The sequence below is a fragment of the Homo sapiens genome, chromosome 2 (assembly GCF_000001405.40).
Source record: "Homo sapiens chromosome 2, GRCh38.p14 Primary Assembly".
Taxonomy (NCBI): Eukaryota; Metazoa; Chordata; class Mammalia; order Primates; family Hominidae; genus Homo; species Homo sapiens.
Genome location: NC_000002.12, coordinates 134576233 through 134589979, shown reverse-complemented (window position 1 = coordinate 134589979; position 13747 = coordinate 134576233). Strand labels below are relative to the sequence as shown.

General features: G+C 44.3%; 1 protein-coding gene across 1 annotated transcript in view, besides 1 other annotated feature; it reads left to right on the top strand.

Moving 5' to 3' along the window:
• Nucleotides 1–13747, top strand: part of TMEM163 (transmembrane protein 163) — a 263242-nt gene that overhangs the window by 129021 nt on the left and 120474 nt on the right. The gene's annotated exons all lie outside the window — the stretch shown is intronic.
• Nucleotides 6178–6227: an enhancer, noted in NCBI's record as "active region_16563". NCBI's record gives its function as "activates an Ori minimal core promoter by ATAC-STARR-seq in GM12878 lymphoblastoid cells {active_cell/tissue: GM12878}" and the evidence as "EXISTENCE:reporter gene assay evidence [ECO:0000049][PMID:35858748]".

Genomic DNA, 13747 nt, shown 5'->3' with positions numbered 1-13747 from the left:
TCCCTGTCTCACCCAGGTTTCTTGAGGACTGGGTGGGAGGAGTCTTATTGATGTTTGTATTACCAGTGTGCTGTTCACAATAGGCACTCAATGAGTGCTCAATGGGTCATTCTGTTACCAGAAAGGAGTCCCAATCCAGACCCCAAGAGAGGGTTCTTGGATCTCGTGCAAGAAAAGAATTCAGGGCGAGTCCATGAAGTGAAAGCAAGTTTATTTGGAAAGTAAAGGAATAAAGAATGGCTACTCCATTGGCAGAACAGCCCTGAGGGCTGCTGGTTGGCTATTTTTATGGTTATTTCTTGATTATTTGCTAAACAATGGGTGGACTATTCATGAGTTTTCCAGGCAAGGGGAGAGCAATTCCCAGAACTGAGGGTTCCTCCTCTTTTTAGACCTTATAGGGTAACTTCCTGACATTGCCATGGCATCTGTAAACTGTCATGGTGCTGGTGGGAGTGTCTTTTAGCATACTAAAACATTATAATTAGTGTATAATGAGCAGTGAGGACGACCAGAGGTCACTTTCATCGCCTTCTTGGTTTTGGTAGGTTCTGGCTGGCTTCTTTACTGCATCCTGTTTTATCAGCAAGGTCTTTGTGACCTATATCTTGTGCCAACCTCCCATCTCATCCAGTGACTAAGAATGCCTAACCTCCTGGGAATGCAGCCCAGTGGGTCTCAGCCTTATTTTTCCCAGCCCCTATTCAAGATGGAGTTGCTCTGGTTCAAATGCCTTTAACAATTCTTCTTTGAATTTTGACCTCTTTCTTGAACATTACCTTCTCTCATTCCCTTTTCAGTGCCTGGGTCCTGTGTATTCTACCTGTACCTCAGAGCTTACCTCAGTCCCTTCTTTCTGCTGCCTCTCACTTCTGGATGTCATGACCTTGTGCATGGACTATTGCAGTAGCCTCATAGTTATACTCTGCCTTTGACCTTTGTCTCTTCCTATTTATCTTTGGCATTGCTGGACAATAAACTTTTTGAGGGGTATCGCCTATTCCCTCTAATGTGAAATGTCCCCCATTTCCTACTAAAGAAAGCCCCTACTCCTTTGTTTGCTGCTCTTCATGAACTCTACACTTTGGTCTAACTGGTCCTCTTCCTCCCCACCGAATGGCCTCTTCCCCCCCCAACGTTTTGCCTGTTTACTTGCCATCCTTCCATGTAGCCCTTCTTGATTCTGACATGATCAAAGAATAAATGCTATGGCCCTTGTTCTCCTGTGAGAGGCAAACCTTTCATTGTGTACATTGCCTTACTGGAATGAGTTTGTAGGGGTCAGGGTCCATGCATACCTCCTATTAGTTTCCTCTTACCCCATCTAGCATTTGTTCTTTGTATAGAGCAGGCATCTAATAAATGTGTGAATGCAAGACTGTCCCTCTGGAGAGAGTCTCAAGGCACATGAGAGAGCATGTGCCTTGGTTAATGGCACATGCTGGTTCAGTGCCCTCTCCTTGTCCCCAGGGATGACCTTGTCTTCTCTCTTACTGCCCATGCCACTCCAGTTTCATCGGGTTTAGGAACTGCTGATTGGACCCCAAGGTGATAATTGTCTTTTCTGTTTGACTTTGCTTCTCTGTCATGAATGATGATGTGACAAGGTGTGATTGGCATAGCTTAGCAGTGGTGGACGATGGCTTTATTGCAGAATCATTCATCTCCTTCCCCTTTCCCTCCTTTCTTATTGTCTGACTCACTGTTTTCTTTTGGAGTTGCCAGAGAATGGTTAATTCCATTAACAACTTAGCAGCTTTCCAGGACTGTGGCCTGGCTGATTCTCCAGGATCTGCTCACAGCTCTACCAGGAGTGGGATTTTTGGAACGATACCAATAGTTCCCACATTCACGTGGTGAATTCTCTTGGTTCCAAAAATGCCAATTGTAGGACCACAGGGTAAGTAGACTTTGGCTTATGGAGATGTTACAAGTTGGGTAGGAACCTGGCTGATGTTGAAAGGACTCACATTTACATTTTCTCTGGCCTTCTGTAACATTTTCCTTCCCTTTGGATGTGGTGATTTATAGAGAGGTTGTAACTGCCTGGATTATTTTTCATACTACACAACAGGGAGCACTGTGAAGTTGCTTTCCTCCTAAAAGTAGATTAAATATAAACACTCTGCAGTAATTGGATTTGAAGTGCATCCCTTCTTGTTATTTGTTTGAATACCTTCTTGTCAGTGCCCAGGAGGATATCTCTGGAGCCTTCCAGGTTTTCCACATTGTGTGGATAAACTGCATCTTTGTTACCTACAAAAAGAATCCCATCAGCCAGAAGCCTTTGGATCTCTTTGGTTAAGGAACTGCTTTCTTATTGAGAGTCTTAGAGTCTTAGTTTTAGAACAGTTAGGAGACAGAGTTTCTTGATGCCCTGACTGTGTGATTGAACCACGTGTCTGGGTTCTCTTGTGTCTTCTTAGGCCTTTGACCTGGACGTGCAGGAAGACAGGCACAAAGGCTGGCCTTGGGGACTGAGGCCTGCTGCGTTCAGGTTTTCTGTGGATGGTGTTCTCAGCCTAGCTTCTCACACGGGGGTGATACTTTGTTTTTTTCTTTGTTTGTTTTGACAGAGTCCCGCTCTGTCACCCAGGCTGGAGTGCAATGGCGTATTTTGGCTCACTGCAACCTCTGCCTCCTAGGTTCAAGCAATTCTCCTGCCTCACACTCCCTAGTAGCCAGGATTACAGGCATGTGCCACCATACCTAGCTAATTTTTTGTATTTTTAGTAGAAGCGGGGCCTCACCATGTTGGCCAGGTTGGTCTCGAACTCCTGACCTCAGGTGATCCTCCCAACTCGGCCTCCCAAAGTGCTGGGATTACAGGCGTGAGCCACTATGCCCTGCCAAGGGGTGGTACTTTGGTTCAAAGTTGAGGGTAGACCTTTTATTTAAGCCATTTTTTTTTCAGGACTTTAAAGGCCATGGCTTCTCAGGACTCACAGATGAGATCTTAAGTCCAAGATTTACCCTAATTAGACCCCTGTTTCCCCTTCTCATTTTGCCCAGGTTTCATGGGAAAGGAAGTGTACTCTGTCTACAGCTTACTGGTGTGGAAAGGATAATAGGAGCCTTTGGGGTTTTTCTGGTGGATTGAATTAACAAATATAGGTGATGCTTGACTTAAGATGGCTTGCTCTAATAACCTCTGCCACTTGCTACATTTCTGTGGTTAATTACAGATGTCAATAACAGCCCACACTGGTGCTTCCTGCCGTCTCGTGACTGGGCCAGGAGTTCTGCTGCTGTTGCACCAATCCCACTGCAGCCCTGGCTGACGAGGCCTGGATTCTGTCAACAGCTCTGTCATGGGTTGAATTGTGTCCCTCCAAAATTCTCATGTTGAAGTCCTAACTCCCAGTATCTCAGAATGTGACTTCCTTTGGAAATAAGATTGTTGCAGATGTAATTAATGAGTTAAGATGAGGTCATGCTGGAGTATGGTGGGACCTAATGCAACATGACTAGCGTCCTTATGAAAAGGGGAAATGTGGACACAGATACGCACGCAAAGAGAATGCCACGTGAAAATGGAGGCAGTGATCAGCGTGATGCAGCAGAAGCCAAGGAATGCCAAAGTTTGCCAGCAAACCACCAGCAGCTAGAGAGAGGGCTGGGGCCAGTTTCCTCTGCAGCCTGTAGAAGGAACCAATGGTGCTCACACCTTGATTTTAGACTTCTAGCCTCTAGAACTCAGACAATAAAGTTCTCCTGGTTAAGCCACCTAGTTTGTGTTACTTTGTTTTGGCAGCCCTTGCCAACTAATACAAGCTTGGCCTGAGATTAAGGAATCACTAAAGAAAAGGAAATTGCCCTGGAAACAGCCATTTCTCCAACAGGTGCCATCCGAAGAATTTCAGTGTCATATATGTATCTTGACTCAACTGTAAAACATCTTAGAATTGATGACCCAAACTTTGAACACTGTTTTGTGGTCCTTAGAGCCTTGCTTGCTCTTCATTCCAGACTTTGTTGGGCTCTTCTTTCAAAAAGTCTTAAGTCCATGCACAAAAATCTTCCCTGGGAGGAACATATACTATAAGGCATTTATACTAAAATGTTGGCTTTTATATTTAATAAATATTTGAAGAAGCAACTGGTTCTTCACATGACTATTTGTTAATTAAATATTCCAATTTTGCTTTATGTTTATAAGAAATATTGATAATAACAGCTAACATTCATTGAGCATGGACTCTGTGCCAGGCACTCTTCCAGGTATTTTTTTTTTTTTTGAGACGGAGTCTCGCTCTGTCGCCCAGGCTGGAGTGCAGTGGCGCGATCTAGACTCACTGCAAGCTCCGCCTCCCGGGTTCACGCCATCCTCCTGCTTCAGCCTCCCTAGTAGCTGGGACTACAGGTGCCCGCCACCGCGCCCGGCTAATTTTTTGTATTTTTAGTAGAGACGGGGTTTCACTGTGTTAGCCAGGATGGTCTCTATCTCTTGACCTCGTAATCTGCCCGCCTCGGCCTCCCAAAGTGCTGGATTACAGGCGTGAGCCACCCCACTCGGCCATTCCAGGTATTTTTAATGTATTAACTCATTTGATTCTCACAACAACCCTCTAAGAGGAAATGGAGGAACAGAGAGATTAAATAACTTGCCTAAAGGTTTTACTAGATGGTTCTATTTGCAGCCATCACTTGAGAATCTATTAGGTCCAGAGTGTGAGGTAGCCAGACTCTGTGCCTGTAGTCCCATAGTCCCAGCTACTCAGGAGGCTGAGGTGGGAGGATCACTTGAGCCCAGGAGTTTGAATCTGGCTTGGACAACACAGTGAGACCCTGTCTCTAAAAAAGAAAAAAGAGGACGAGGTTGCCATCTCTTTCTGTCCCTGTTTCCAGGTGGGGTTGAAATGTGATGGTTAGATTTAATAAAGATCTCTACATGTGACATAGTTATAAGAGAATGAAATGTCTGCAGGCAGAGCTCACAGTTTAGGGGCCTCTCAAGTTCTATATGAAGAATACCCAGGCATCCATGAAGTGTCCTGTCCCTGAAGTGTCTGTGGAGTAGTTGGCAGGTCACTGGTGCTGGGTCTGGAGCTGGGCATTGGACTCTGCTGCTTACCAGCTCTTTGATTCTGGACAAGTCATTGCCTTTGGTGAGCCTCATGTTCCTTAGCTAGAAATGGAAATACTACTCTAAGTTTACATGCTAAGCTTAGTACCTGGCACATTGTGGATACTTTCACATTATAGATAATTTGAATGAACATTTGTGTCTGAATCCGGTAAAAGTTGCCACCCAGACTCTCTGGCCACCCAGACTCTCTTATTTCTTTAGCAAGAGTCTCGAGTCTTTATCACATGCCTTTGTACTTTTTTTTTTTTTTTTTTACTAGAAATTTCAGAGAGGTCTTCTAAAATGCAATGGTCAAGAAACTTACGTTTCTGGGTACTTTATCTTCCAAACAAACATTGAGGATTGTGCCTTGCCTGGAACTTAGTTAATGGGGAGGGGTTTTTCACCTGTGATTTTTCACATGGGTGACCATAGAGCAGGCATATAGGCCACCTGGCTATCCTACATAATGATCTCTGGACATTCATTCCATGACCTCTGCCTTGTAGGATCTTAGTGCACACATGCTTTTGTGGATGTTGCTTCAGACACCATGGCTGGGCAGTGAGTCTGTGGTTTTTGCTAGAGGCTGCTGCCCTTCCCTGATGCAGCCGTCTCTTGGCAGCGTGATCTGTTTATGTTCTTCATTTCAAGGTTTTTCATTGTTCCTTAGTTCTGCTGCTGGCAGCAGTTGAGAAATTATACTTGGATATCAATTAGGGCATCCAAAATATGACTTTATCCTGGAGCAGGGCAAGGAGAGCTTAGTGATGTGCTTGCTTTATCATTTAACCTTTACATCTGCCAAGCAATAGTCTGCATTTCCTGTGCAGAGATTTTGTAGCCCATCTATTCAGCACTACTAGGAGCCAGGTGCTGCTCTAGGCCCTGGAGATGGAGCAGTGAACAAATGGTCAGAAATTCCTGCCTCAGGGAGTGAGAAATAAAATACATATTAGATTGTGAGGGATGCTATGGAGAAAAATGAAGCCAGAAAGGGGATGGAGGAGGACAGGAATAGCAGTTATGCGTTCAATAATGTGGTCAGAAAAAGCCTCCCTGAGAAAGCTACAAAGATGGGAGGGATTGAGGGAGCAGAGAGCAAGCCATGGGCCTGAGAGCAGGGGGCATCTCATAGGGGGCAGGCAGACAGTGTGGCTGGAGCAGATGTAGGGGAGGGGAGGGGACCATGAGGTCACTGGGAGTGATGGTGCGTGAGTGCTAGGCTATGAAAGATCTGTTAGTGGTTTTACAGCATGGCTGACAGTAGCTGCATGGATGTGGTGAACCCCTTTTCCGAGAACTCCATTGCCTTCAGTTTCGTTATTGGCCCTTGAGTTCTTTCTCGATTGTAGATCAAACGGCCTCCCATTTCTAGGGGTCGTGGCCTTCTCCATGGGGTTTGAGTGAGAAGTGTCATGGTGCTGAACTTGGTTTTATTGCTTTTGTTTCTTCGAACTCTAGGAGCCTCTTCTTAGATTGCCGTCTGAAATTTTTATCACTGTAAGTGACAAATACAAAGCGCCCAGAAGGTAATAATGATGCGAACTATTTATTAGAAACTTACATGCCAGTAAGCACTTGCTGTGGGTCTAAATGTGTCCATGTGTCAGCTCTCTTGATACAGAGCAACTCCATTAGGTAGAACTCCCATTTTGTGGGGAAGGAAACCAAGGCACAAAGACATTAAATAAATTGTCCAATTTTATGTGGCTTGCCAGCGTGGGATGAGGATTCAAATCTGGGTAGCTGGATTCCAAAGTTGGTGCTGTGACTGCTGTGCTGAGAGGAGCTTTCTGGTGAAGCTCCACCGTTCTCTGTCCACAGGACTAAGCAGAAATGAAGTTCTTCTCATATTTTTTTAAAATCCAAATAATCATTGCACAGAGATGCCTGTTAAAATAGAGAAATATGTTTTAGTGCCATTTTTATAGGAAGAATGGTCCCAGAGTAGAGATCTCTTAGCATATATGTGGAGTGTGTTCAAGCCAGTGGATTCTTCTCTACTTTTGCAGGTAGAAGGGAATTTAGGCCCCTTGGACCCAGAAGCCATTTTTCTGCCCCCTACCTTTCCTCCTCTCAGGATGGAGGCGACCCCCAGCCCCCACATGAGATATCACCACTTCCTCTTCCTCACCTGCCAGTGACTCACTGTTGCCAAAACTAAAGCATCAGCTTGAGACATGATTATTTTTTTCTTCCTTGTTTCAGAGACAGCACTTATGATGACTGAGTGGCTGTATGCAAGTCATGAGAATCACATGGCAGGACCTAGCACCACCATGCACCAGCTTGGGCTTGGGTTTCTGATTAGTCTGAGTGAAGCTTTGACGTGAATTTTTGTCTTGTCAGACTCCAGTTAACTTCAACAGGGACGGCACTAGGTTCAAGAGTCCAGAGAAGAGACCCAGAGCCAGCAAATGAGATATGGGGTTTTATTTGTGAGAACTTACATGCAGGAACAGTCCAAAGGTGGCAGACTGGACAGGAGAACTGCAACCTCTTGCAAAAAGCGTGCGGTTTGTAGAGCACTTGCACTTAGCAGCGGCCCCCGCATGGCAGCTGTCATTTCTTAAGTTATTGCTATTAGGTGCACCTACCATACTGACCTTCCCCCACCTACAGGAGCTGGGAACATTCCTTATGCTCTTTGGGGGATTTGGGTTGCCTTTTTTGAAGTTGATGAGAAAACAATTTTGCAAAACTTACTCCCCTTCCCAGCCTTTGTCCTCTCTTTTAGTTCCTTTCTAATTAGGCATCTTCCCATAGCACATGGCGATCTTCTTGTCTTCCCTTTTTGACATGACTGTGGTTTCTAGGAAACTGAAAGTTTTAAACTCTTGCATACCTTGTGCTCTCTCATGGTTCTCTGCCGTGTGTGTGAACCCAAGCAGTGCTGGTTGCAGTGCTGTTGATACTTCTATGCGCACTCATGGTGACAAGGAAACCCTTCAGCTTTATGACACCGTTAGGAAGGACAAAGTCTTCAATATGTGTAGCCATATTTTGAACGATGGAATATTTAACATGGAGAATCAGTGGTTCAAGGGCAGGAGGGAGATGGAAGGGTAGTTGCCTTTTTGGTTCTGCTGCTTCTTGTAAAGTTGTGTTCTTTGGTCACTCTGGTATCATTATTGTACATGTGTATATGCATATGCTGACATGGGCAAGGGGAAAGTATGGGGAAACTAAAGGTAGGAGATCCTCCCCTCAAAATGAGCTGACTTGACTTTTGAACTTGTTTTCTCATCAACCTCATAAAATTCATCTCCCCCCCGCCCCCATAAAGAGCATGAAGAATGTTCCCAGCTCCTGTAAGTGGGGGAATTGCTGGTGGTTTGTTTGGGGGAAGGGCAGTGCAGCAATGCAGCCAGAGTGGGGTGGCAGCTGCTATTTTACATTTGGAAGGAAGTGGACCCAGTTCTGGAATGAACATAAATGTTGACATTCAATTTCTCTCACCAAAGTAAAGTGGAGAATTTTAGATATGTTCTGAAAGAGATAAGCATGATGTGTTGCTAAGGCTATTTGCATGTAGACACTTATGAAGAAGATGTGAAAATTGTTTCTGTGTTATGTATATTCTAGTTAATTAAAAAAAAATTAGTTGGCCTTTTAAGGGAAAGGAGCTTGTTGAGTTATTCATCAAGTAGCTACTTTGGGTGATAGAAGCTTGGTTTAAAAAAGAAAAAAAAGGAAGATCAAGGTTAACCAGAAATGGTGCCTCAGGAAGCAAATGTATATATTGGACTACAAATCCTTTTCCGTCGGATTTGCCCCATGTGTCTGTGACTCTCCCTTCAGTGCCCTCCTGCCCTGATTCTGTTGTTCTTGGCACCTGCGTCTGTGATGGTCAGGAAGTTTAGGTCTTCATTAGAGGGTCCAGGGACTGAATTGAGCCCCAGAGGTTATCTCATGAAGCCCCGCCTGGAGAGATTGGTTAGTCAAACCCAGAACCACCATCCACATCTTGCTCCTGTCCTAGGGCTGGTTTTTTTTGAGGCAGAGTCTCGCTCTGTCACCCAGGCTGGAGTGCAGTGGAGCCATCTTGGCTCACTGCAACCTCCACCTCTGGGGTTCAAGCGATTCTCCTGCCTCAGCCCCCTGAGTACATGGGATTACAGACATGCACCATCACTCTCGGCTAATTTTTGTATTTTTTGGTACAGATGGGGTTTCACCACGTTGGCCAGGCTGATCTTGAACTGCTGACCTCAAGTGATCCACCTGGCTCGGCCTCCCAAAGTGCTGGGATTCCAGGTGGCAGCCACTGCGCCCGGCCTCTAGGGTTGTTTGACTTATTTTTGCATTGATCTTGGGCTAATTCCAGATTAATTTCTTGTTGTCTCAAAGACTGACATCCTTTGCACAATAAATGAATGAATTTTATTCCGTATACACTTACTATAGTATATAGTATGTGGGGAAGCCAGTGAGCTCTTGAACAAGGATTTTATTTTACACTTCTTTTGCAAAAGGAACACTTTATAGCACCACATAGTATGTTCCATCAGCCTGCTTAATTGGGCTTGACAATTGGGCTTTGGTTCTTAAACAGTTTTGTAACCCTCCTAATTAAAATCCAGTGTATGCTGTTACGTCTCTTAAATTGATGGCTGTGACTCATGGGGTTGAGGTGGCCTAATTAATCTTCAGCCCTTAATGAATTCTAACTCTCTTCACCTTTGTTTCCCTCAGTACAAAAGTCATTGAGGTGCAGACATCTAGCATTTAATGTGCCGTGAAAATACATCGTCTCAATTTAAGAAAATTCCTTTATTACCACGTAATTGGACAGGTAAAATACTTCTGCTTTGTTTATTGAAGTGCTTGATGAAAGCCTGGGATTGAGATTTTTTTCTTAAGTCTCAAATCTTACTGAGTACTCTGGTTTGATAATTGAGCTTTGGTACCTAAGGTACTTTTTGTTTCTTGTCATCATTTTATTTTTTTAAAGACTAGGTCTCTCAGTCTGGTATCATGTGAGGTCCTTCATGCCCTGTATGAGAGAACAAATCATTACCATTAGCACGGGGGCCAAGTTTTCAGCACGAAATACCCATGCAGTAAATTGTTTACTATGTGACTGATATTTTACATAGATTTCTTTTAATTTTCACAACTTTGTGAGTATTTCACTTTTCAGATGAGATAACTGAGGTTTGGAAACATTAAACAATCTGCCCTGTCTTTATGGCTGGTGTAGAGCAGGACTGGATTCAAATCCCAGTATATCTCTTCCGAAGCCCTGTGGAACCAATTTAGTTTCCTACCCCTAGGAGAGCATTCACCCTGTTCATTAGCTCCTTTGTTAAGGGAGAAAACAGGAAAAAGAAAAAAAAGGATGGATTTGTTTAGGTGATGACAGCAAGAACATTCAGGACGTAGGTGAATCCAGAACTTTTAAATTCAGTGAGTCTGTTCATTTGGACAGTGAGTCTGTCCAAAAAGCTTCTCAGTGTTAGAAACTTCATATTTGTTTTTAAAAAATCATGGAAGAATCATCCTAAAACATTATGTCACTTACAGCTTTAGAGTTATACTTGTAGATGGATAGATTATGGTGATGTGATTTTTAAATCCATTTTATTTTGTAGCGTGAGAAAAACAAACGAACTTCGTGAAAGAATTCTGTGCCCCACACTATAAATGCTTTGATAAACTGGAAAGTTTACCAGTAATCCTTGCATCAAAAGTTCTAATGGGAATAGTTGCCCCTTTGTAGATATAAAAGTGTCTTCTTAGATTGAATTGAGGATTTGGGGGAAGCCATTCACATGACAGCCTGCTGTAAAAAATCAGGTGGGACATGATAGGTCCAACGCATCCTCCCACCCAGGAGGGCCTGACGCCATCCAGCCTGGGGTGCTGGAAACTTCACTTTTGAAGTTTCTCTCCTGCAGGAATAACTGAACCATCTACTTCCTTTTGTGATCGCTCTCTCCATTCAAATACTGGGTGCATCCAGGATGGAAGTTTGTAGCTCTGTGGTAGGGAATTTGGGGTGGAGGGAATCTAGTGAGATTGTTGGTGAATAGAGCAGTCTCTTTTTACCTCCCTTCTGAAAATGCAGTTAGGCTCCACTTGGAAAATTGTTGCTTTGTATGCACACACATGCACACACACTGCCTCTCACACACACATGCACACACACACACTCAAACCAGTTATTTATCTCTTAGGCCATGAGATTTTACATGATCTGAATTGCTGAGTCTAGGCCCTGTGTCAGATTACTGGACATGCAGAGAAGGGAATAATCACAGCTGCTTGTTAGTATTACTTTGGTTGTGCATAGTATTTTTCACACTAATTGTACTGTGGGGGAAAGGTTGTCCAATGCCTTTTGCTCTTCGTTATCCAATCTTTCCAAATGGCTGCATGCAACATTACACATACAGACGCTAACCACGATGGGAAATGCTTCTCTGTTCACGGGCATGACAAGCTGCAAATACAACTGGCTGACAGGAACATCACGCGTTACATTTCTGGTTCTAGAAAGGCGAGACCAGTGCAGTGGAGGCATTGACATACACAAAATATTCTGCTCTTCCCTTAGTTGGGTGTGTCTGGGTGCTTCTGTTTGGCTTTGGTGAGAGTAATCCTTTTGAAATGGGGCACATCCAGAACAGGAAATAGTGTGAGCAGAATCTGTAAGTGGACTTTTCTTTTTTGAGCAAAATCTTGTGCTTAAGACTTTTAATGAAAGCCTGCCAGAATACTGCACAGCTCCTCTAAAACTACCCTTTCTCTTCCTCTTATTTTTAAGTTATGGAACTAATATAACTGTATTATCAAAAATAGGAAAATTGGAGGGTTAAAAGGGTTCAACATTTCTTTTTTTATGATAGAAGTAGAGTCATTCCTCCGCACCCGAGAGGGGTTGGTTCCAGGACCTCCCCATACAAAAATTCCTGGATGCCCAAGAGCCTGATGTGAAATGGGATAGTATTTTGCATGTAACCTACACACATCCTCCCGTATACTTTAAATCACCTCTAGATGTACTTACAATACCTAATACAACGTGAATGCTATGTAAATAGTTGTTATGCTGTGTTTTTATTTGTATTATTGATTGTTGTATTTTTCCCCCCCACATGTTTTCGATCTATGGTTGATTGAATCCACAGATAAAGAACCCACAGAGAAGGGCTGACTGTAAATACCTGGTGGGCACGGAGGCTCCCAAGGGTGGGTGGGGAGGGCTGGGGAAATGCCTCCCAGCTGAGATAGGTGTGTCTGAAGTACCTGGGAACACCTGCGGAGACCTGCAGTGTGAAAAGGAGAGAGGCTGGTCCCTTTCCTGCCCCCTCTCTCCTGGCCCTGCACCTCTGGCTGTAGCCCCTCTGGACTAGCTTCTTTCTCAGTCAGCGCCTCGTGCAGGGCTCCAGCTTGCTCTGCGGATGGTCTCCTCCTCTCACTGCAGCCCTCAGCGAGGAACTGGCTTCTGACCCTTGTGTATTTCTGATGCCTCAGCGTCCCAGCTGTGCCTCCCCTAACCCTGAGAGTAAGTTACAATCTCTTCATTTTCGCCGTCTAAAGGGACTTCTGGTCCCTGCCGGGACCTTGGCTGATATAGGTGTTTCCTGAGGGAAGGAACAAGACCATATGAAGAGCCACGATGTGTGCTACAGAGAAAGAACACAGATTTGGGCTCTCAGAAGGTATCAAATTAGAGTCGACGGTGTCCATATCTTTATGCGTGTGCATGTCTACGTGTGTGTATATGACATTAAATGTCTATCAAAAAAGGCTCAAAACATGGCAGGTACCCTAATTAAGTTCAAGAAGAGTCTGTTGGGTGTCTGTTTTGTGCTGGTCTCAGCCTCATACTGGGGTAAGGTTGGAGCAGGAATTCACAGATAGGAATAAGATAGCTGCAGCTCCTGGAGCTTCCAGGCCAGAGGAATCGGAACATGGCAGACAATAGTTGGGATGGAATGTGATCATGCATAAAGGCGTTTATGAGGTTTAGAAAGAGTTGGCTCTGCAGCATCTCAGCAGTGAGTAGATATTAATGTCTGTGTTTAATAGTTCAGTTTAGGAGGTAAAAGGGTTGTTCCCCACCTCCCATCCTGAGATAGTGTTTTCCTTCTGGGAAAGGAAGGAACTCCTGTGCATCAGAGGAACTTAGGTGGACCTGTCTGCAAGGTGCCAAGTTTGTCCTTTCTTTTCAGGACTTGTAAATACTTGCAGATGCCTCAGATTTTAAGAAAGGTATGACCCCTGCTGGCCCTTAACCTTCAGCTTTGTAACAGAGACTCAGGAGAGGCCAGGCCATTATCTGTCTCTCCTCTTGGTTCCTTTTTGTGTGGGAGACCTTTCTCTCCTAAAAAGAAAATCTTGGCCTCTGAGAGGCATTCTGTGTGATTGGGAAGGAGTCCTGCTGGGCCATTTGTTCAAGGTTAAAATTCTTATTGCCACTTAATGGGTGGCCCTTTTATGTTAGGGGAGCTTAATTCTGTCAGCTAAAATTAGGTCTATATGAGATTAAACCATCAGCATTGGGGATACAGTTTTCCCCCAGGTGTGGCCATACCAGGCCCTTGTGGCATTTTTATTTTTCTGGTTTAGGGTTTGGTGAGAAATGCAACAGTCACAGGCTTGTCTCACGACTAAAACCACTTCGTAGAATTTCACAGGCAAGTCACAGTCCATAACCTAATTCTTAGC